This window comes from Homo sapiens, chromosome 19 (genome assembly GCF_000001405.40).
Source record: "Homo sapiens chromosome 19, GRCh38.p14 Primary Assembly".
Taxonomy (NCBI): Eukaryota; Metazoa; Chordata; class Mammalia; order Primates; family Hominidae; genus Homo; species Homo sapiens.
The window spans coordinates 1281059-1301817 of NC_000019.10; the positions used below are offsets into that span (position 1 = coordinate 1281059).

A 20759-nucleotide genomic window follows, 5' to 3' on the forward strand; every position below is an offset into this window, starting at 1 on the left:
CCCACGCAGACACGCAGACACGCAGGCACCCACAAAATACAGTCTCATAGACACACGGTAAGCAACTCGGACAGTTCCATGGATGGGACGCCCGCAGCCCCGTGGGACACGCGATCACACACATGGGTGTGACCTGCTCAGCTCCTAACCCCACGCCGGGGAGTGTCTCAGACCCATGCCCCCCACCCTTGCCCCTCGGTGTGCCCACTGGACAAGCAGCATATCAGGTCTGTGCCTCTGGGTGGGGGGGGGTGGGGGTCTCTGCTTCAGCAGCGGGCCCCGCCCAGGCTGGAGTCCAGTGGACTCACTGCGGGGCTTCTCCGCTTGTGAAATAGGGGCGGGTGGGCGCTGGGGACGTGGCCTCAAAGGCGGGATGCGTTGGGTTCCTTGCGGCGCCGGCTTGTGCCCACAGCTTGGGGCCGACATTCATCCTGGGGAGATAGAGACAGGGCTCCTCTGCCGCCCTGGTGCCGGGGTGCCCCAGGGATGTGGCCCCATGTGCCAAATCACAGTCACTCGGGTTGGCAGGCGACGGAGGGCTCTCTGCCTCTTCTGGGGGTGCTGAGACCCCTGTACCCTCGACTCCCCACCTCCAGGGATCTCACCCCCAGGTGCCCATCTCCTCTGTGGGGGGCCTGAGCCACCACTGACCCCACATTAAGGCCACTGACGTCCCCGTCCTAGGCCAGCCAGCCCCTGAGAAGCACCCAGTGCTTTGCTGTGGGACACAAAGCCACACATGGCTATTCACGTTATTTCATTAAGTTACATAAAACTGGAGGTCCAGGGCCTCAGTCACCATGGGGAGAGGTCCTCAGTCGCCATGGGGAGAGGTCCGGGTCCTCAGTCGCCGTGGGGAGAGGTCTGGGGCCTCAGTCACTGTGGTGGACAGCGATTGGTGGGGGCAGGGACATTTCCTTTGTCTTGGAAAGTTCTGGACGCTGGTGGTGTCTGGACACTGGAGAACGGGTCTGTGTTCAGGCCCCAGACCTGAAGGTGGGATGAGGGAGAGAGGAAGGAGGAGGAAGGGGAGGAGGGAGGGGACAGAGTGGGAAGGAGAAGGATGTGAATGGAGAGGAAGGATGGGAGGAGGAAGGAAGGAAGGAGGGAAGGGGAGGAGGAGGAAGGAGAGGAGGGTGCAGAGGATGGGGGAAGGAGGGGGGAGGAGGGTGTGAAGGGGAAGGAGGGAGGAGGGAGCGGAGGACTGAGAAGGGGAGGAAGGTGTAAAAGGAGAGGGAGAGAGGAAGGAAGGGAGGGGGTATTAAGGGGGAAGAGAGTGGGAAGGGGGAGGAGGGAGGGGAGGGTAGTATGAAGGGGGAAGGAAGGAGGGAGGGGAGAAGGGTGGGAAGGGGAGGAAGGAGAGAGGGAGGGAGGGGAAGGTGTGAAGGGAAGGAGGGAGGGGAGGTGGGAGGGAAGTAGGGAGGGGGAGGGAGGGGAAAGGTGTGAAGGGAAGGAGGGAGGGGAGGAGGGAGGGAGGAGGGTGTGAAGGGAGGAGGGGGAGGAGGGTGGGAGGGGAGGAGGGAGGGAGGAGGGTGTGAAGGTGTGAAGGGAGGAGGGAGGGAGGGGAGGAGGGAGGGAGGAGGGTGTGAAGGGAGGAGGGAGGGAGGAGGGTGTGAAGGGAGGAGGGAGGGAGGGGAGGAGGGAGGGAGGAGAGTGTGAAGAGAGGAGAATGGGAAGGATGGGAGCTGGGGAGGAGGGAGGAGGGTGAGCTGGGAATGGGGCTGTGTGCCTGCTCTTTTCCACCACTGGCTGCAGGGGTTGCAGGAATCTTGGGTCCATGGCTGGATGGGGGTGGGGATTTTCATGTTACCCACTGGAGAAAGGGATACATTTTTATTTTCAAGGACAGCGACCCAGCCCAGGGGAAACGCCCCTGGCCCCTGGGGCTAAGCGCAGACCCCAGCTCCGTGCTTCGCAGGTGGGGGGCGATGGACAGCGGTGGGGCTCCCGCCCTGAGTGGAGCCTGTGACCTGCCCGGGCCCCAGCGCCCCGTGACCCCTGCCGCCTGATCCTTGCCTGGCTGAGATGGGGCTTCTGAAGGCTGCCGGCACCAGGGCAGGCAGCGCATTGGGTCCAATTTATTCTGTAATGAGAAATTCTCCCCGCATATTTTTAGCTTCCTCCTGGCGTCGCGGCCTTTGAAGGCTGAGGGGCTGCGGGACGCTGATCCCAAGCCCTGTGGCCTGGCCATGTGGGCAGTGGGTGCTGGGCACGGGCTGGACAAGTCCCTTCCTGAGTCTGGGTAGACCCCAGTCCCAGCAGTGCAGAGCAGGGGGCGGGGCCAGACCCCATCAAGCCCTGTACTGGCTCCAGACCAGGGACTGAGGGCGACCCTGGATAACCCCTGACCTTGGCGGACACCTGTTCCCAGAGTGAGCCTGATTTCTGACCCTTGGCTCCACAGGAAGCTTACTCTAGAGTGACCTCCGGCCGCGGCTGCGTCCCAAAGCCGGGACAGCTCCCAGCCCCAGGAGGGAACAGGGCTTCTTGGACCCCCACAGTGGCCCCCCTGCCAGGCAGGGGTTTGCCGGGGCAGCCTCGCCCAGGGCCAGGCCTCGGAGACGCCCTGCCCTCCCCTCCCTTCCCCAGGTCCTTCCTCTAGGAGCGGCCAGCGGGCGCGGGGAGGTTGAATGGGGGACGCACCGCCTTTGTTCCCGTCCCTGCTTGGGCTCTGACCTTGAGAGAGACAAGAACAGAAGGAAAACGGAGCTTCTGCTCAAATCCGTTCAGCGGTGGCGGTGGTGGCGGCTCTCGCCTCGGTGGCCCCTGCATGCAAATGAGTGGCCCTGCCATGCCTGGGTGGAGGTGGTGCCCTTCCAGCTCCCACCTGTGCAGGTCCCAGTCCTGGTTTGAGAAGAGACCCCCTCCTCCCGACCCTGGCCCACCCCTCCTCACCCACGAGATCCCTTGAAGCAGGAGGGGGCTTCTGGTCCCAGGGTAGAAGGAAGCTTCCAGAACTCCCACCTTTGCCAGGTGGCATGCTGGGGCCGGGCACGCCAAGACCCCAGGCTCACGGCCCCTTGTCCTGTGCTTGGGTGCAGCCGCCACACTCTGCTCCGAAAGTGCTCACCTCCGGGAGTGGCCGTCCCCCTCCCTAAAAGAGCCCCCCACCAGACGGAGCCGCCCGGGAAGCTTCTCCAGCCTGTCTGGGCTACAGAGCCTTGTGTGGCTAGAACCCAAGGCCCTCACTCCAGGGGTGCTGAGAGAGCCTGTCCAGAGGGCCTGCCTCAGCCACCACCTGGGACAGGTTCACGCCCTCCACTGAAGAGACACCCGGCCAGCCCTGGGCCTTCGACCTGGGACGTCTGTAGTGGGGTCAGGGGATGAGACCTGGAGCTCAGAACAGACGGGCTGAGCTCCCTGGAGGAGAGAGAACTGAGAACCTTGTCCTGGCAGGGACGCTAGAGCACTGGGTGGGACAGACCTTTCTGGAAGAGCAAGATTTTAACAGGAAGAAAAAGTGGAAGGACTTCCCAGCAGGACCCAGCCTGAACAAAGGTCAGGTGGTGTGGCCCGCGTGGCCCGCTGGGGAATCGGGGGAGGAGGGCACGCAGGAGACACAGGACAGAGCCCACCACGTCTCAGAGCTGTGGGACGGTGGTGGGTCCGGTCCCCACCCCACCTTGCTGGGGCACAGGTTAGCTTGCCCATCTCTGGGTTCACGGTCCCTGCCAGGAGTTTGGGTAATGCCTCACACAGGGACCTTCGGGTCCAAGGGCTGTTGGTGCTTGCCCTGCAGTTCCCTCTCCTGCACTGGGCCTGGTGAATGACACTAATTCAGAGACGTACAACACGATCTGGGCATCGCCAGCAAAGTCCAGCCAGCGTTTGATGACAGCCTACCCTCCACAAGCTCAGAGTCTGGTGAGGGAGGCTGTGGCATGAATAAGGGCAAAAACAGAGGGCAGGCCAGGTGCAGTGGCTCACGCCTGTAATCCTAGCACTTTGGGAAGCCCAGGTGGGAAGATCGCCTGAGCCCAGGAGTTCAAGACCAGCGTGGCCAACATGGCCAGACACTGTCTCTATAGATTGGAAAAAAGACAAAGCAGAGGCCAGGCCCCCAGTTCCCCACCTGTGTCAGCCTACCAGGAGGAGAAATCACTCGGCGTTCCCTGAACAGATCAGACCCCGGGTCTTTGCACAAGCTGTGCCCCCGGGCAGCGGCCCTCCCCTGCCTGCAGGATTCGTGCGTGGAGACTGATTTGCTGTCGGCCGGGGCTTCACTCTGGGCTTCTTGGATCCCATCCCCAGCTGCTCACACTCCACATCGGTCCACCTACTATGCTCCCGGCACCCTTAGGGCTGAGGTGTAGGGACTTACTCCATCCCCAGGGAACAGCGTGGGTCCGGAGAGGCGACTCCCAGGAGGGCCCCAGGGAGGTCGCAGCCCGAGCAGCTTTGGACTTTGGCCAGCGCCCCTCTGAAACTCTGCCCCGGCCCCCGCAGGGAGACTGGAGTTGGCCGAGCCCGATTTGGGACGCGTGCGTCGGGGTTGGTGAGGCTGCGGATAGCGCTGGAACCGGGCAGGTGAGAGGCCCGGGACCCAGGGCCGGGCCGGGTGGAGCGCGTGGGGGCGCGGGAGGCAGGGTGCGCCCCCGCCCCTCGGAGACCCCAGGCCGGGCCACGCGGATGCCGGCGGGGGGCGCGCAGAATCGGGGTCGCTGGGGGCAGGCCCCGGGGGACGAGCCTGAGACGGGGTGGGCCGGGGCAGGGGGCGGGCGCAGGCTGGAGACCCCCGCCCAGTCCCCGCGCGGCCGGGGCACGGCGGGAGGGGGCGCCCGCGGCCCTCCCGACGCTCGGGCGGGACAAAGGCCGGAGCCCGGGCCCCTCCCCGGCGGGTGCGGCGGCGGCGGCCCGCGCTCCGACAGTCCGCGCGGCCGGGTCCTGCGCCCGGGGCGACCCCGGCGCCCCGCCCCGCCGCCGCCTGACTTCTCGGCGCCCGAGGTCGCGCGCGCGGAGGCGGGGGCGGCCCGGGATCTCCAAGCGCCGCCGCGCCCTCCTCCCGCCCGCCCTCCGCCCGCCCGCTCGGCGGCGGCGGCGGCGGCGGAGGAGGCGGAGAAGGCTGGCAGGCGGCGGCCGGGAGAGCGAGCGCGGCGGCCGGACCGGGGCCATGGCGCCCGCGCAGCGCCCGCTGCTCCCGCTGCTGCTCCTGCTGTTACCGCTGCCGCCGCCGCCCTTCGCGCGCGCCGAGGACGCCGCCCGCGCCAACTCGGACCGCTACGCCGTCTACTGGAACCGCAGCAACCCCAGGTGAGCGCGGCCGCGCGCGGGGGGCGCCCGGGGACCCCCCAACGCCCCCCAAGCCGCGCCCGGCCTCGCGCCCCCGGAGCTCCGGGCGCCCCCCACGCGCGCGCCGCCGCCGGGATGCGGGCGCCCGGTTCCCGCGGGAGCCCCCCAGGGAGCTCCGGCCCCCCGGAGTTTGGGGGACTCGCCCTTTTCGCGCCTGCCTTCCCCGGGGCGCCCCATTGCCCTACGGACTGTGGGGACTCGCGCCCCACATCCCCCAGAGCGCCGACGTCTCCTGGAGTTTGGGGAACCCCTCTGGTACCCTCCGATGCCGGGTAGCCCCTGAGTTGCCTGCCTGGACTTGGGGGGACCCCTGATCCACCCGCTTCTCTGGGGAGCCCCCTCGGTTTCGCATTTGGTGGGGATCCCCGGGGACCTTGGCACCGGAGGTGGGGGACTGTGGCCCTCGAGGGATCTCTGGGTTCGTCCTGCCCGCAGGTCCCCAGATGAACTTGGGGAAGTTGGAGTGTCCCTCCCTCAGGACCCAGCATCTGCTTCACTCCAGGGGGCCAAGGGCCCAGCTTTGAAAGGAGACTGAGGGGCCGGGGAGCTGGGGGTCAGCCCCGGGAGGGGCAGTGGGATGGAGTCCTCTCTTGTCCTCTGGGCGCTGACCAGGAAACTGAGGTGCAGAGGGGATGAGGAGCTGGCTCAAGGTCATGCAAGGGGGGGACTTGGGGGCAGGACCCAGGTGGCCCAGTGCCCTGCCTGCCACGCCCGGCCGAGATGCCGCACCCGCCTGCTGCAGGCCCCCTTGTTTTGAACCAGGTCCGGGCCAGGCACAACGTGGGGGACAGGAGAAGCCCCCGTTGGTCAGAGCAAAAAAAGTTTGCCGGGGCCTGGCCATGGCCTGGACGTGGGTAGAACCCTCTGAACCATCCCAGGGTCTCCAAGACAGGAGCAGGCTGCAGCTTCCCTGGGGGTCCCGTGGGAGCCGGGGCTTTGGGGGTCCTGGGGCTCGGGAGGGAGTCAGCCCCAGCACTCAGGGTGTCACCGTCTTCCTAAGGCACACGGAGCTGCACATCGGGGGCTGAGGCGGCCCCCCCCCACTCTTCTGCTACTGGTCACTTTCTCTCCGTTTTCCAGCCGCTTCCTGTGCCGACCGAGCCGCCCTCTGGAGCCCGCCACCCCTCCTTGTCCCCTCTGTCTCCTGCTGTCCTCGGTCCCCGGGAGGAAAGTTGCATGAAGGGGTCTCTTTGAGGCGGGCTCGGGGACAAGGGCGGCCCGTGTTCCGCCGTGGGGGTGGGGAACACGCACAGGCCCACCCCCCACCCTGGTCAACGGCCTCGGGTCGGGCCCTGGGGGCTGAGGGCAGGGACCCCGGGCCGCTGGGGGACGGCTGGCCCACCTCAGAGCGGGTCCCCGAGCCGCCCGCTGTGCTGGTCACATGTGGGTTTGATTAAGGCTGTCGCTGGCCGTGCGGGGAGTCCAGCGGGCAGCGCTTCCCCGGCCCAAGTTTTTGGTTTCAGCTGCGGAATCTCCCGTCCCCAGCGTGGCCTGTCCTTTGTTCTAGCAAACGCCAAACACACGAGGACCCGGCAACCGGGGGAGGAAGGTGGTCACCAGGGCCGTCCTGCTGCCCCACCTGCCACAGGGCTGTGGGCTGCGGGCCGGACCCCCGGCCAGGGGAAGGAAGTGGCCTCCCCAGTGCCTGGCTTGGCCCAGCCACCTCCTGTTGCTCCGGGTCTGACCTGGTTGCCCAGCTCAAACCGCTGCCTGAGGGAACGGCCTTGCTGGTCCGCAGAGCCGACCTGGGCAGCACCGAGGCTGCCTCCTCCTTCCTCTCCTGCCTGCGGTATCCAGGGTTGCTGGGGACGGAGCCGACACCCTGCAGTGGGGCCCAGGGCTGGGTGAGCACCTTCCCGGGAAGCCGGGATCCAGCCAGAATCAGGGCTTTGTCGCGGACATCAGGGGTCTCTGCAGTTCTCAGATTTGGTGTCCAGGGGCACCTGCCCGGGACCTGTGCCTGAGTGGCGGGGGTGTCAGGCACAGCAGGGGGTGGTGCTGGGCCTCCGTATCCAAGGGGACCCTGTGGAGGGGACATCGGCTTGGGGAGAGGAGTGGCGTCAGCCGGCAGGCCTAAGGTGTGAGGCTGGGCTGGCCGGGGAGGGATGATGGGGTCGGGCAGGTGTGTGGGGGATGCGGGGACCCCAAGTCTTTGAGAGGGGCATACAGAAAGGCACTGGAGACGGGGACAGCCGCGATGGGGGGCAGACAGCAGCGTGGGCACCAGGGGACCGTGTGCTCGATGGGGCCTGCAGGCCCGGGCAGTGCCGCAGCGTCGCCGGCCGCCCCTTCCGCCCATTGGCCTGGCACCTGTGCCCAGGCGATGACTGTGTGGTCTGTCTCCACATCACACCCTCTCTGCTGTGAGAGGCGATGCCTGCACCCAGGGGACCCCGCACCCACCTCCTTGGGCCGCTATAAGGTGGGGCCCCGTTGGGTGGTCTGGCTGGCCGGCCCCGCCACTCCCACCGGTGACTGCACAGCGTCCGTCCAACCCACTCCCCAACCTGGGCTGGGTACCCCTGAGCTGGCCGCCAGGAGTCTCTGGGCCTGTTCCCAGCCGACCCGCATCGGGCTGGGGCGTCCAGGGCTTGGACCTGGCCGGCTGCCCTCACCTGTCCTGTTGGACCTGGCCGGCTGCCCTCACCTGTCCTGGCCACAACACCGCGTGTGCATTCCCACGGCTGCTCATGTGTGTTTGCGTGCAGCGGTGGGGAAGGGTGGCGTGCAGGTGTGCCTGGAGTCGCATCCGGCTGCAGGTTACATGTGTCTGTGTGTGGCAGGAGGCTGCGTGAATCCACAGGGCACAGCTCTGGCGTGTTTGCACATGTGTCTGCGTGATTGCATATGAGGTGCATGTGTGTGCATGAGTGTGTCTGTGCGTGGCACCCGCGTTTGCATGTGCGTGCCCTTGCACGGGATGTCTGCAGTGTCCGAGGTCCCTGTGCGTGTCTGCCTGTGGCATGCATGCGTTTTGTCTGTGCGTGGAGTGCAGGTGTGTGTGCGTGTCTGCGTGTGGGGTGCATGTAAGTGTGTCTCCCTGGGGGCAGTGCTGGCTGGCTGAGGGCCTGCAATGTGGGGGCAGTGGTGGCCCCAGCACGGTCCACAATGGCAACCCCGCTGTTGGCCCTCCCTCTCCTCCTCCCCTGGGGACGGGACCAGGGCCCGTGTGCAGACGGCCATCAAGCCTCAGAGCAGGGTGGACGCAGGGGCCTGTGGTCCCCGGGAGTCCCCACCTTCTGATTGGAAATCTGCAGCCTTGGGGGCACTGGGTGGGCGCTTGCCCACACTGGGCATCTCTGGGCTTCGGCCACCCTCCCGGGGTTCCCCACGGACCCAGTGGCCCTCGGGTGTGGGCAGCAGCCGGGTTCCCCTCAAACACTGGATGGAAAATGGTGACCTATGCAAGGGCTCACTCCCCGAGGGAGGAGCCGTCCCCCAGCAGAGGGCAGAGGTGAACGGGGTGTCTCGCTCCCCGTGGCTCCGCTGGCGTCCCTCGGCCTCTCGGGGAGCCGGCTTTGAAGGGGGTGATGCCGTGTTCTGCTGCATAAGGGTTTTTTGTTTTGTTTGAGAGAAGCTGGTCCACTCGGCATTGGGGGCGCTAGGAGAGCCGGGCGGTGGGCCTGGGGGATTCGGGGCCTGAGGGTGGGGTCCTGGAGGCCGTGGGGTACCTGGACTCAGACTCGGGAGTCTGGGAGACCTGGGCATGACGTCAGGCAGGTGGCTTAGCAGCCTGGAACCCCCAGGCCTGCTCTGCGAAGTGGGGGTGACGGAGCCCTGCGGTGGGTGCGGCTCGGCCGATAGGGCCTGGTGTGGATGGGCAAAGGCCTGAGGGTGGTCCCAGGGGTTAGTGTCCCCTCCCCAGAAGGGAAACCGAGGCAGCTCCTGTGGTGGGGAGGATGCTTCTGCCGAGGCACCATGGTCTCTGTGTCTCACGGTCTCTTTGGGTCTCTGTCTTCCCCATCTCTGGGCATCCTGGGGTGCCATGGGTGGCCCAGGCCTTCCGCCTCCACTGCAGGCCTCCCTGGGCGGCCTCAGTTTGCAGAGAAGGGAACAGAGGTTCCGTGGCGGGGGGCCGTGAACGCAGTGGGATTTGACCTTCCCCCGTCTCTGGGCTGACGTCTCCGCAGGTCTGCAGGGGACTGGCCCTACGTGGGTCCCTCGGGGTCACGGCGGAGGCAGTGGGTTGTGCATTCATGGGGGTCCGGGTGGTAGCGTTTCTGTGGAGCCGGTGGTCTCCTTGTCATCCATGAGGGTCCTGCCCCGGTGGCCGTGTGTTCCCCGGGACACGGCTTCTCTCCTCCCCAGGAACCGGGATGCAGCCAGGCCTTGCCCCTCAGTCCTGTGTGTGGGACCAGCCTCTCCTGCAGATGGGTCCTCAGGGAGAGCTGGGCTTTGTACCTTGCTGGGGGAAGGGCTGAGCTGCTCCCGTCCCTGTGCCCACCGTCCCGTCGCCCCAGACACGCGGCTGGAGCCTGCGGAGGAGCAGACGAGCCGGCGGGGTTTTTGCTTTAACCTCAAGCAGGCGTTTGAACTCTGTGGCCGAGTCGGTCCTGGTGGGGGGCTCGTGCCACACCTGCTCCCAGACCAGGCTGGTGTGGGGTCTGGCCGAGAGACTCAGCGGCGTGTCCCCCCAGCTCTGTGCGCCCCTTGTCCACCTGCCCTGTGGGTCAGGGGCCCCCAATTCAGGGACAGAGCAGCCGAGGCCCTGAAAGACGGTGACTCACCCAAGGCCACCCGGAAGTTGGGCAGAGTCCAGGGTGTCCCACCTGGGGCCGGCCCGGGGGAAGCCAGGGACAGCCCTGGGAGGGGCAGGAAGGTGGGTGGCCGACGGCAGCTGCACTCTGTACCAGGGCCACCCACGCCCACGGTGACGGAAGCCCAGGTGGGGCTGACCCTGCCCGGCCCATCTTTTTCCTATTTTGCTTCATTTCTAGGGCCCTGCCTCAGTTTACCCTCCTGCACCACAAGGCCATACTTGTCCTTTCTTGGGCAGACCTTGCACCATCCCGGGGACTGATTTCCCTTCAGGTCCCACCCAGGTCCTGAGCAGGAGGAAAAGCTCCAGTCCTCAGTCAGGGGGGACATCTCTTCCGTCCCTGGAAAAGCCAGGTGTGGGTGCTGTCACCCCAGCAGGTCTTGCTGGGGGTGGCAGGAGGGGACGGGCGGCCTCAGCCCCACGCTGGGCTTCAGGACCCGGGCTGCCTGCTCATCCGGCCAGCCTGGGCCTCCCCGGGAGCTTCTCCACCCTGGAAGAGAGATGCAGACGGGTGCAGGCGTCCACCTGCCCACCCACGGGGTCCTGGCTGCCGGCCACACCACTGCCTCAGTTTCCAGTCCTGGAAGGCAGCCCAGCCCACCCCCACCCCAGTTTTGGGTGAGATTCCTAATTAGTCGCTTAGCTATTAGCGTCTAATAACTTGACAATTGCCCGATTGGAGCTAATTAGCTCCAGGCCGCTTGCTGGAAGCTGGTGACAGCCAGGAGGCCCGGGTGGGCAGGAGGGGAGCCCTGCTGGGTGAGCCTCTGCCTGGGGCCTGGAGGGCTGCCTGGAGGCGTGGACTTTGGCACCCGCAGGTTGAGTGAGTGTGGGGGGAAGGTGTGGCCCGGCAGAGGGAACCCGGAGGAGTAAAAACTGCCACCGCTGCTCTGTCTGGGAAAAATCCCAAATCAGTCATTAACCCCTTAGTGAGAATTTCAGTCTCTCTGCCGCTCCGGGGAGGATTTGCATATCGAGGCTTCATCACTAATGGAGGAAGCGAAGGCTTTGTCTGCCTCTCCCCAGGTGCGGTTTTGGGGTGGGGGCCCCCTCCCCCCTGCAGGCGCCACCCTCAACAGGGGCAACGCGCCCACCTCGGGCTTGCCCGCCAACTTGGAACCGGGAATGCCAACACAGCAAGGCCGCTGCTATTTTAGAGACGCAAAGGGAAAAATACGGCCCCACTCCGGCAGGCAGAGCCGGGGGTGGGGGTTCCCCTGGGACCTGCCCTCCAACACACACACCTGTGGGCTGCTCCCCACAACTCTGGCATTGCAAAGTCCTCGCCTCTTGACCTTTTTAATTCACTCATTATTGAGCACCACTGTATGCAGGGCCTGTGTAGGGCCCTGGGGAGGGGACAGAGGAGGCCAACATCAGGATCCGGGATTCAGACAGCAAACCCTGTAAAGAGCAGATGTGATATGGGGCGGGGCACAGGGAACAGCACTGCAGGCAGTGGGAACAGCAGCTGCAGAGGCCCTTGGTGGGAACAGGGACAGCCGGGAGGCTGGTGTGGCTGGAAGGGAGGAGTCTTGGAGAGAGGAGGATGAGGAGGGCGCAGTGGATGGGCCACACAGGCCTGGAGGGGTGTGGATTTTATTCTGAGGATCAGGAATGGATGGAGGGCTCTGAGCCGCCGCCAACGTGTTACAGGGTCTGTTTTGCAGAAGAGCGAGGCTTGGGATATGGGGAGGCTGGGCCCCGGCAGACCCTCACCGCAGCCTGGAGGGGCCCGGGCACCTGGCCGCTCAGCCACACAGAAGCCTCGGTCTCTGACATTTTACCGAAGGCAGAACAGGAGGAGAGAACACAGTGGTGTCAGACGTGGGGGAAGGAGGCACCATTGGGGAACCAAGAGGCCAGAGGGGGACCTACAGGGCTGGTGCTGTGGGCACTTTCAGAGGCTGCTCTGTCTCAAGAAGTGTCCTGCTAGGAGCCAGGTTCTTTTTTTGGGTTGAATGTGGCTCCCTGGGGATCACTGCCGGGACAGGAGGGGAAACTGAGGCCAGAGGGCAGTGGGGAGCCCAGACGCCCCTGTGGTCCCTCCACGGAGGCCTCCCCTGCAGGGTGACCTGGGTGTGGGCAGTCCCAGGCGGGAGCTGGGCCTTGGCTACCATCGACCGCCTGATCAATGGGCTTTCACTTGGGCTGGGCAGGAACGAAAATGACTTTTCAAAAAGGCTGGAGCAGCTTCTGCATCGATCGTGCCCAAGGGGCCAGCGGGTCAATGAGATGCCTGTGCCCGGCCGGCCAATGGGGCAGCCTGAGGGGTGGGCTGAGGCCGAGCCCATCTCCATCTGAGCCTGTATGGGGGCTGCCCCCGTGTCTGTGCGGACGCACCCCGAGTGTCCAACAGCCGGGAGGACCATCCCCTTGCACGGAGGGGAAAGGGAGCCTCTGAGAGGAGGCCGGACCTCGAGACCCAAGGGTTCAAATCCAGACGCAAGCCCAGAACTGCAAGATTCCGAAGCCCCGGAAGGGCCCCTGCCCTCCAGGCCTGGTGCCCGGGGGAGATTTCCCTGCAACACGCCCTCCCATGTCCCCTGTGCTGGGCTCACAGGGGTGATGAAGGAGGCCTGGGAAGCTCTCTGTCCCTGGACGAATCCAACCAGGTAGGGAAGGGCTGGAGGGTGACTTCACCGCCTCCGCCGCCCTGCCTTGAAATTCTTTGCTCTGGAGATCTTCATGCCGGATCCCTAGTGGGGAAACTGAGGCGCAAGTGAGCACACCTGTCTGCCCCTTCTCACCCCTGGAGACCCAGGAACCCCCGGCCCCGCCTGGCGTGGCATCTCAGGGTGGCGGGGGGCCGGGCTGATGCCATCTGATAATCCCACCACCCTCTCTCTCGAGCTGCTGTGCCAATTAGTGCCCCCAGTGTGGGGCCTGCGGCGGGCTCACCCCTGCAGGCCGGGGTGGCGGTGGCTGTGCCGGGCTAGAGGCAGTGCCAGGGCCGGGATCGTAGCAGCCTGCACCCATGTGCTGCCAACACTGGTGGGGCCTCAGTTTCCCCTGCCTGTGCATGGAGGGAGGAGGCAGGAGCGGTGTGGGGGACCCCCCATTCCTCCCTGTTCAGGTCTTTTATGTGCTAATAAGCCCCTCTCAGGGCCCCCCTCGTGCCCCGCTTGGTCCAGGCCGCCGGTTACATGACAGGGGCCCTGGGGACCACAGCCGGGAGATCTAAGGGCTCCTGCCGCCATCGCCCGAGGCAGTGAGGGAAGGGGAGCCGCCGGTCCCTTCCTCGGCTGATCTCTATCCTCACAGACGAGGCTGGGTCAGGGGGCTCCCTGGAGGAAGGGGCCTGTGGGTTGCGTCTGGGGGACCTCAGGGCAAAGGCCTGGAGGCAGGGCTGGGGGCTGAGGTGTCAGGAGTGCAGGCACCCAAGAGGGAGACCAGGAGGCCGCCGGATTCCGGGGCTCGGGGCTCGGGAGGTTTCTGGGTTCCAGATGTGAGAGGGTGGTATGGGGCTCGCAGGGTCACACAGGAAGGCAGGGGTGGGGCTGGGAGTGGAGCCCAGGATGTCTCCGAGCTGGGCGGCAGGTGGAACTCGGCAGGCTGAGAGAGAGGGGGCGGTGGGCGGAACTCTGGGGGTGCTGAGAGGAGGGTGGAGGGATTCTTCACGCCAAGCTCCGTTCTCTTTGGGGAAACTGAGGCCAGGGTGGGGGCAGAGCTTGCCCCAGAGCGAGCTGGAATGCCCGACCTGTGTCCCCCACGCTGCCCCGGTCCTTCTCAACAGGTGGGAGTGCAGAATGAAAGCAGGGCTGGGGGCTGCCTGGAGGAGGCGGCACAGATGTTAAGCATGTTAGGTAGATGCGAAGTTTCTGGAGAGGGAATTCTTGTGGAGGGACAGCTCGTGCAGAGGCCCGGAGTCAGGAACCCCCCGCCGGCCCTTTGCACACAGGGGTCCAGATGTCACCCACCTGGACACCCACCTCGCTGCTGGCCCTGCCGTGGGGCTGTTGGGGACACTGAGGCAGGAGGTGGGGGGCAGTGCCAGGCAAGAGATCGTGGGCTCCCAACCTTGGAAGCCCGCCGTGATTGGGGTGTGCAACCCCACCTGCTGACCGCTATCACCATTCAGGGCCCAGGCGGAGTCCACCTTGTGAACTGACCCCTCCCCCATTCCCCGGCCTGACTTCCCCGTGCACCTGTCCCCTGACCCGTCCCTCCCCGCTCACCCTGTCCCGTGCCCTGTGCACCTGTCCCCGGAGCCATCTCTCCCCGCGCACACTGACCCGTGCCCCATGCACCTGTCCCCTGACCCTGTCCCCCCTGGCGCACCCTGACCCGTCCCCCGTGCTCCTGACCCCGGCCCTCGCCGCGCACCCCGACCCGTCCCTCGTGCTCCTGTCCCCTGACCCTGGCCCTCCCCGCGCACCCCGACCCGTGCCCCGTTCCTCGCTCCGGGCGCTGACCTCTGGCCGCCTTGTCCCCGCAGGTTCCACGCAGGCGCGGGGGACGACGGCGGGGGCTACACGGTGGAGGTGAGCATCAATGACTACCTGGACATCTACTGCCCGCACTATGGGGCGCCGCTGCCGCCGGCCGAGCGCATGGAGCACTACGTGCTGTACATGGTCAACGGCGAGGGCCACGCCTCCTGCGACCACCGCCAGCGCGGCTTCAAGCGCTGGGAGTGCAACCGGCCCGCGGCGCCCGGGGGGCCGCTCAAGTTCTCGGAGAAGTTCCAGCTCTTCACGCCCTTCTCCCTGGGCTTCGAGTTCCGGCCCGGCCACGAGTATTACTACATCTGTGAGTGGGGTCGGGCCGGGGCTGCCGGGGCCCGAGTGGGCGGGGACGCGGGGGCGGGGCCAGGAAGTGGGCGGGACCACTGGGGTGGGGCCGGGGAGTGGGCGGGGCAGCGCAGTGGGCGGGGCCGCGGTGTGGGGCCAGGGGGGAGTGGGCGGGGCCGCGGAATGGGGCCAGGGGGGAGTGGGCGGGGCCGCGGAGTGGGGCCAGGGCCGGTGCTGGCCACTGACCCACCCCGGTCACTGACCCCCTCCAGATGTCAAGTGCATGATGGACGTGCCATTCTCCCAACCATCCCGGGAGGCCAGGACTTTCCTCGTCCTTCGTTGCATATGGGGAAACTGAGGCTTGGAGGGGGACTGAGGCTGCACTATTGTGATCTCGGGCCTCCAGCTCAGACCACTTGGTGGTTGGGCCAGTAGACCTGGCTCAGCCCCCCGATAGCGAGACCAGGGTGCCCGAGCCCCAGCACACTGATGAGGGAAACTGAGGCATCCGGAGCCCAGCAGGGGAGGGGAGCTTGGTGGAAGCCACAGCTAGGCTGAGTGCTGGGGCTTACTCCTGCAATCCCAGCACTTTGGGATGCCGAGGCGGGAGGATCACTTGAGGCCAGCGTGGACAACGTAGGGAGACCTTCTCTCTACAAAAACATAAAAACAATTAGCCAGGTGTGGTGGCATGGGCCTGTGGTCCCAGCTGTGCAGGGGGCTGAGGTGGGAGGGCTGCTTGGAGTGCATGAGCTCTGGTCGCTCCACTGCACTCCAGCCTGGGTGGCAGAGCGAGACCCTGTCTTTAAAAGAAGAAAAAAACCCCACAGGGCCCCTGCCGCACCAGCCGCACCCAGACTGGGTAGGGGTCTCCAGGTCCTCCCTGCCCCGCACCCACCCCCGCATCTCCCCGGGACCCATGCCAGGCTCGGAGACTCCCTGAGGACCGTGGGGTCTTCATCTGAAGGTTGGGTGGCGGCAGCCTTGGGGATAGTCACATCTGCAGGACCCCATGGTGGGCCAGGCTGGGTGGGCCAGGCTGAGGGAGGCTGCCAGTCCCTGCTGCTTATCGGAGGTCCGAAGCTGGCCTTTTTGTCCCTACGAAAGGCCAACGGCAGGTGGGGAACACAGCAGCGCCAGCCGGAGTCCCAGTCCTGCTTGGCCATGATATCTGTGACCTTGGCGGGGGAATGAGGGGCCAGGCACTGCCCACCTGAGATGGGGATGATGGCATCACACTCGTGGCTTCCGCCGTGGCGCTGAGACTGAGGGATTCTCGTGGAGTGGGGACCCCGGCTTCTCAGCATCTCGGGGCCTGAGGGATGGGGAGTCAGGGATCTGGGGTCTGTGCCCCCAGGCTGCAGGGGGGCCAGTGCCTGGACACCCAGCTCCTGCTGTGTGAAATTAAACTTTACAAGGCCCCATTGCCTCCTTTCTCTGCTCTAGTTGGATTTTTCCCTTTTAATTCAGGGAAGAAGCGGGTGGGGGACGGGGGAAGGTGTTTAAATTAAGTCCCCATAATATGAGAAAAATTACATTTTTCTTTCTGAGACGGCAGTTTCATAAAGATAATTATTGTAATTATTCGTCCTACCTCTGTGATGAATGTTATTTTTATTACATGCTTTTTATCTTCATCTTCCAGTGTGAGGGGTTTCTAGGGGGCGGGCAGAGGTGGTGGCCATGAGAGCCAGGCCATCAGGGGCCCAGGGCCCGGCAGAGACAGCAAGACCACATCCATGTGTGCGTGCACATGGACCCACCCCTGTTCGATTGTCCACACGTGTGCACACCCCAGCGGCCCCGGCTTCAGGCGTCCTTTTCCTCCTCTCTTGATCCTTGCAGACGCCCCCACTGCACTCCAGGATGCTTCTGGGGGCCCGAAAGCAGGGGCGGTGATGCTGGAATTTTGGGCGTAAGAACCAGTTGGAAATAATCTTTCCCAGCCAGGCGTGGCGGTGGCTCACGCCTGTAATCCCAGCACTTTGGGAGGCCGAGGCGGGTGGATCACCTGAGGTCAGGAGTTCAAGACCAGCCCGGCCAACATGGTGAAACCCCGTTTCTACTAAAAATACAAAAATTAGCCAGGCATGGTGGCACACATTTGTAATCCTGTTTACTTGGGAGGCTGAGGCAGGAGAATTGCTTGAACCCGGGAGGCTGAGATTGCAGTGAGCCGAGATCGTACCATTGCACTCCAGCCTGGGCGACAAGAGCAAAGCTCCATCACAAAAAAAAAAAAAAAAAAAAAAAAAAAGAATCTTTCCCAGAGAATCTACTGTGTTGCCAGGCGAGGTCCAGAGAGGGAGCGGCTTGTCCACAGGCTCTCAGAGGCAGAGATTTGAACCCAGGTCAATCATTTCACTATTAATATATCACCTCTTTGCTGATTGCTTGAAAACAAATACATCATTTTCCGAGCTCACCCTGTGCTGCCCTGGGGTGAGGCAGAGCAGAACAAAAACACAGACACCCCCAGGTTCTGGGGTCAGGATTGGACAGAAGGAGGAGCAGGGGGAATGTGCAGGAGACTGCTGGGAAACAGGGGGCATTGTGTCTGGGGCTTTGATGTACGATTAGGAGTTTTAAGGGTGGCTCTCCACCTGGGGTCAGGGTTGATTCACCAAGGTGGGGAAGGGAGTACAGCCCCAGGAGGTCTCAGGCACCAAGAGGCACTTCCCCACTCATCCCCATCCCCTCTCTTCTAGCTGCCACGCCTCCCAATGCTGTGGACCGGCCCTGCCTGCGACTGAAGGTGTACGTGCGGCCGACCAGTAAGTGCTCAGGGGGATGGGCAGGATCCAGGCCCCCACCCCTGTGTCCTAAACCCACAGAACCAGTGAGTGTTCAGAAGAGCCAGGACAGGGGGCCTCGGGTTTCCCTATCTTGCCCTGCCTTGCCCCAGCCTCGATTTCCCCGTCTGATGAACATGTCAGACCTTCGAGAGTGAAGGTTAGCTGAGCGCAGTGGCTCACGCCTATAATCCCAGCACATTGGGATGCTGAGGTGGGAGAATCAATTGAGCCCAGGAGGCCGAGGCTGCAGTGAGCAGAGATCACGCCACTGCATTCCAGCCTGGGTGACAGAGCAAGACTCTGTCTCTAAAAAACAAAGCAGGCCGGTTGGGTGGCTCACGCCTGTAATCCCAACTTTGGGAGCCTGAGGCAGGTGGATCACCTGAGGTCAGGAGTTTGAGACCAGCCTGGTTAACATGGCGAAACCCCATCTCTACTAAAAATACAAAATTTAGCCGGGCCTGGTGGCGGGCTCCTGTAATCCCAGCTACTCAGGAGACTGAGGCAGGAGAATCACTTGAACCCGGGAAGTGGAGGTTGCAGTGAGCCCAGATTGCGCCACTGCTCTCCAGTCTGGGTGATATAGCAAGACTGCGTCTAAAAAATAAAATAAAATAAAAATAAAAATAAAAACAGAGTGGCCGGGCACGGTGGCTCACACCTGTAATCCCAGCACTTTGGGAGGCTGAGGTGGGTGGACCCCAAGGTCAAGAGATGGAGACCGTCCTGGCCAACATGGTGAAACCCCGTCTCTGCTGAAAATACAAAATTAGCCGGGCGTGGTGGCACATGCCTGTAGTCCCAGCTATTTGGGAGGCTGAAGCTGGAGAATCGCCTGAACCCGGGAGGCGGAGGTTGCAGTGAGCCCAGATTGCGCCACTGCACGCCAGCCTGGCGACGGTGAGACTCCGTCTCAAAAAATAAATAAATAAATAAAAATAAAGCAAAAAAAAAAAAAAAAAGATTAAAAGAGTGAAGGTTGAATTCAACAGCCAGGTCCCCCACTTCAGGCCAAGTGACTTTGCCCGGAGAGTGGGCATCGGGGATGGCACCAAGAGGGAGCAGAGGGCCTGCCTGGTGGGGTGATGAGCCCGTTGGGCAGATGTGCACCCTGAGGGCGGGCGGCACGTGGGGAGCCCAGTGGGGTTCGGGCGGCCGCTGAGCGTGCTGTCTCTGCCACCCGCAGACGAGACCCTGTACGAGGCTCCTGAGCCCATCTTCACCAGCAATAACTCGTGTAGCAGCCCGGGCGGCTGCCGCCTCTTCCTCAGCACCATCCCCGTGCTCTGGACCCTCCTGGGTTCCTAGTCCCAGCCCCGCAGGACGCCGACCCTGCCTGGACGGCCCCGCCTGGACCGCCTGACCTCGGCCCTCCGGACCCGGCTGCGGCCCCCGCCTCCGAGACCAAATAGAGACGCTGCTTCTCCCTCGCCTGGTGCCGCCCCCGCCGGGCAGGGGCCATCCACCCGCCCCAGGACCAGCCCTCAGGGAGGGGAAACGGCCGAGAGCCCCCCCCCGGAGGCCCGAGGGGCCGGGGTGTGGATGCGGACCGTGGCCAGGCCATCTCCTCTGGGGCGTCGGAGAACCCGGGAACCTCTTGGCGATTTTTTTTTTTTTTTTTTTTTTTTTTTTTTTTTTTAGTGTATTTTTCGTGGTTGGATCAAAAAGACTTGAGTTTTTAATTTAATTTATTCCCTGCCGTTGTAGCGGGGCGGGGTCCCTGTGCCCTGGCCTGGGGGAGGGGAACGCGGAACATGGGGTCGGGAACACAGCCGCTCCCCTCTGCTCTGCACCCCACTCGTGGGGGAACACAGCCGCTCCCCTCTGCTCTGCACCCCACTCGTGGGGGAACACAGCCGCTCCCCTCTGCTCTGCACCCCACTCGTGGGGGAACACAGCCGCTCCCCTCTGCTCTGCACCCCACTCGTGGGGGAACACAGCTGCAGCCCACCGCGGACCCCCCTGGTGCTCCAGGTTGGGTGAGTCTGAGCCGGAAGGGGTACGTGGTGGGCGCCCCTCATTGTGGCTGGGGAGACCTCATACCCCATCGCCCACCCCCGTCCTCCTGGTCATTTCCTCCCAGACACTGTTTTGCCCCAGCGCCCTTCGGAATCACAGTCCCGCCGTGTCTTAGAAACTGCTTTGGCCGATGCAAACAGCCCCCTACCCGTCCCCCTCGCCTCACACGGTCCCTCTCCGAGGCCGAGAAGACCTTCTGTTCCTGTAAATACAGCCAGCAAGTGCAAACTGTGATTTTATTTTCCACGTATTCCTGAGGACGGACTGGACCGTCTATGTTTTTTCAGCCCTTCATAGGGGGTCTTTTATTTTGGTGGGGGGGTGGGGTGGACTTTTAGAGTAGAAGCTGCACTTGGCAATAAGCTCGTGTCGTCTGTCAGAGCCCCTCTCTCAACTCTGTGACCTGATAATGTTTCTAAGAAAAAGAAAAAAAGGACAAAAGGGAGGGAACCACTACCAAAAAAAAAAAAAGAAACTCCTCCCCGAAGACACTTTAATGAAGGAAACAACACATTTATACGGATTTCATATTTCTACCCGCCTTTCCTGACTCTGTGTTTTATATATATTATATATAAATATATATTGTGTACGGCCGCCGGCCGGCGGCTCGAGGCACGCCCGGTGGTGGGGGGTGGGCAGAGGGCTTTTGTAGGGGGTCGGCGGGGCGGGCCGCGTTGCCAGGCCTGGAGCTGGCGACCGGGCCTCCCTCTTCCCGTCACAATCAACTTTGGATTCTGTATTTTTTTATAATAAAATGAGCATAAACCTCAAACGCGTGTGTCTGTATGTGGGGGCCTTGCCCTACTTGAAGGAGACTTTTGCATTCCTAATTTGGCGGTGGATGCTGGGCGTGGTGGTTTACTCCTGTGATTGCAGCACTTTGGGAGGCCGAGGCGGGCAGATCGCTTGAGGTCAGGAGTTTGAAACCAGTCTGGCCAACATGGTGAAACCCCATCTCTACTAAAAATATGAAAAAAAAAAAAAAAAAAGCCAGGTGAGGTGGTGCACGCCTGTCATCCCAGCTACTCGGGAGGCTGAGGCAGGAGAACCTCTTGAACCCGGGAGTTGGAGGTTGCAGTGAGCTGAGATCGTGCCTTTGCCCTCCAGCCTCGGCAACAGAGCGAAACTCTGTCTCAAAAAGGAAAAAAAAAATTAGCT

The 20759-nt window shown here is 63.7% G+C and overlaps 1 protein-coding gene across 4 annotated transcripts, besides 7 other annotated features; it reads left to right on the forward strand.

The window, feature by feature from the left end:
* Positions 1529–2375: an enhancer, noted in NCBI's record as "H3K27ac-H3K4me1 hESC enhancer chr19:1282586-1283432 (GRCh37/hg19 assembly coordinates)". NCBI's record gives its function as "activates a minimal SCP1, AML or CMV promoter by ChIP-STARR-seq in primed H9 embryonic stem cells {active_cell/tissue: H9 hESC(primed)}" and the evidence as "EXISTENCE:reporter gene assay evidence [ECO:0000049][PMID:30033119]".
* On the forward strand, positions 3169–20373 carry EFNA2 (ephrin A2). Of its 4 annotated transcripts, none has more exons than XM_017026449.2 (5): positions 3169–3637; positions 4447–4527; positions 14487–14800; positions 17493–17558; positions 18766–20373. In XM_017026449.2, the coding sequence occupies exons 1-5, from the start codon at positions 3324–3326 to the stop codon at positions 18885–18887; spliced, it is 897 nt and encodes a 298-aa protein (XP_016881938.1). In that variant the 5' UTR covers positions 3169–3323; the 3' UTR covers positions 18888–20373. The 4 variants fall into 4 exon arrangements, with proteins under 4 accessions (XP_016881938.1, XP_047294338.1, XP_016881939.1 ...); XM_047438382.1 differs by having other exon boundaries at positions 3416–3498; XM_017026450.1 differs by having other exon boundaries at positions 3545–4307.
* Positions 3899–4399: an enhancer, noted in NCBI's record as "H3K4me1 hESC enhancer chr19:1284956-1285456 (GRCh37/hg19 assembly coordinates)". NCBI's record gives its function as "activates a minimal SCP1, AML or CMV promoter by ChIP-STARR-seq in naive H9 embryonic stem cells {active_cell/tissue: H9 hESC(naive)}" and the evidence as "EXISTENCE:reporter gene assay evidence [ECO:0000049][PMID:30033119]".
* Positions 4400–4900: an enhancer, noted in NCBI's record as "H3K4me1 hESC enhancer chr19:1285457-1285957 (GRCh37/hg19 assembly coordinates)". NCBI's record gives its function as "activates a minimal SCP1, AML or CMV promoter by ChIP-STARR-seq in naive H9 embryonic stem cells {active_cell/tissue: H9 hESC(naive)}" and the evidence as "EXISTENCE:reporter gene assay evidence [ECO:0000049][PMID:30033119]".
* Positions 6905–7491: an enhancer, noted in NCBI's record as "H3K27ac-H3K4me1 hESC enhancer chr19:1287962-1288548 (GRCh37/hg19 assembly coordinates)". NCBI's record gives its function as "activates a minimal SCP1, AML or CMV promoter by ChIP-STARR-seq in naive H9 embryonic stem cells {active_cell/tissue: H9 hESC(naive)}" and the evidence as "EXISTENCE:reporter gene assay evidence [ECO:0000049][PMID:30033119]".
* Positions 10270–11150: an enhancer, noted in NCBI's record as "H3K4me1 hESC enhancer chr19:1291327-1292207 (GRCh37/hg19 assembly coordinates)". NCBI's record gives its function as "activates a minimal SCP1, AML or CMV promoter by ChIP-STARR-seq in naive H9 embryonic stem cells {active_cell/tissue: H9 hESC(naive)}" and the evidence as "EXISTENCE:reporter gene assay evidence [ECO:0000049][PMID:30033119]".
* Positions 11213–11292: a silencer, noted in NCBI's record as "silent region_9699". NCBI's record gives its function as "represses an Ori minimal core promoter by ATAC-STARR-seq in GM12878 lymphoblastoid cells {active_cell/tissue: GM12878}" and the evidence as "EXISTENCE:reporter gene assay evidence [ECO:0000049][PMID:35858748]".
* Positions 12703–13272: an enhancer, noted in NCBI's record as "H3K4me1 hESC enhancer chr19:1293760-1294329 (GRCh37/hg19 assembly coordinates)". NCBI's record gives its function as "activates a minimal SCP1, AML or CMV promoter by ChIP-STARR-seq in naive H9 embryonic stem cells {active_cell/tissue: H9 hESC(naive)}" and the evidence as "EXISTENCE:reporter gene assay evidence [ECO:0000049][PMID:30033119]".
* Positions 20374–20759: the final 386 nt, after the last annotated feature.

What these genes read in the sequence shown, in the direction of transcription:
- EFNA2 (XM_017026449.2), top strand. Translation starts at nt 3,324, where the DNA reads ATGAGACCTGGAGCTCAGAACAGACGGGCTGAGCTCCCTGGAGGAGAG. An exon ending in CCCACCTTGCTGGGGCACAG is followed by an intron (nt 3,638 to 4,446) that starts GTTAGCTTGCCC and finishes CGGCCCCCGCAG; the next exon opens with GGAGACTGGAGTTGGCCGAG. An exon ending in GGTGTACGTGCGGCCGACCA is followed by an intron (nt 17,559 to 18,765) that starts GTAAGTGCTCAG and finishes TGCCACCCGCAG; the next exon opens with ACGAGACCCTGTACGAGGCT.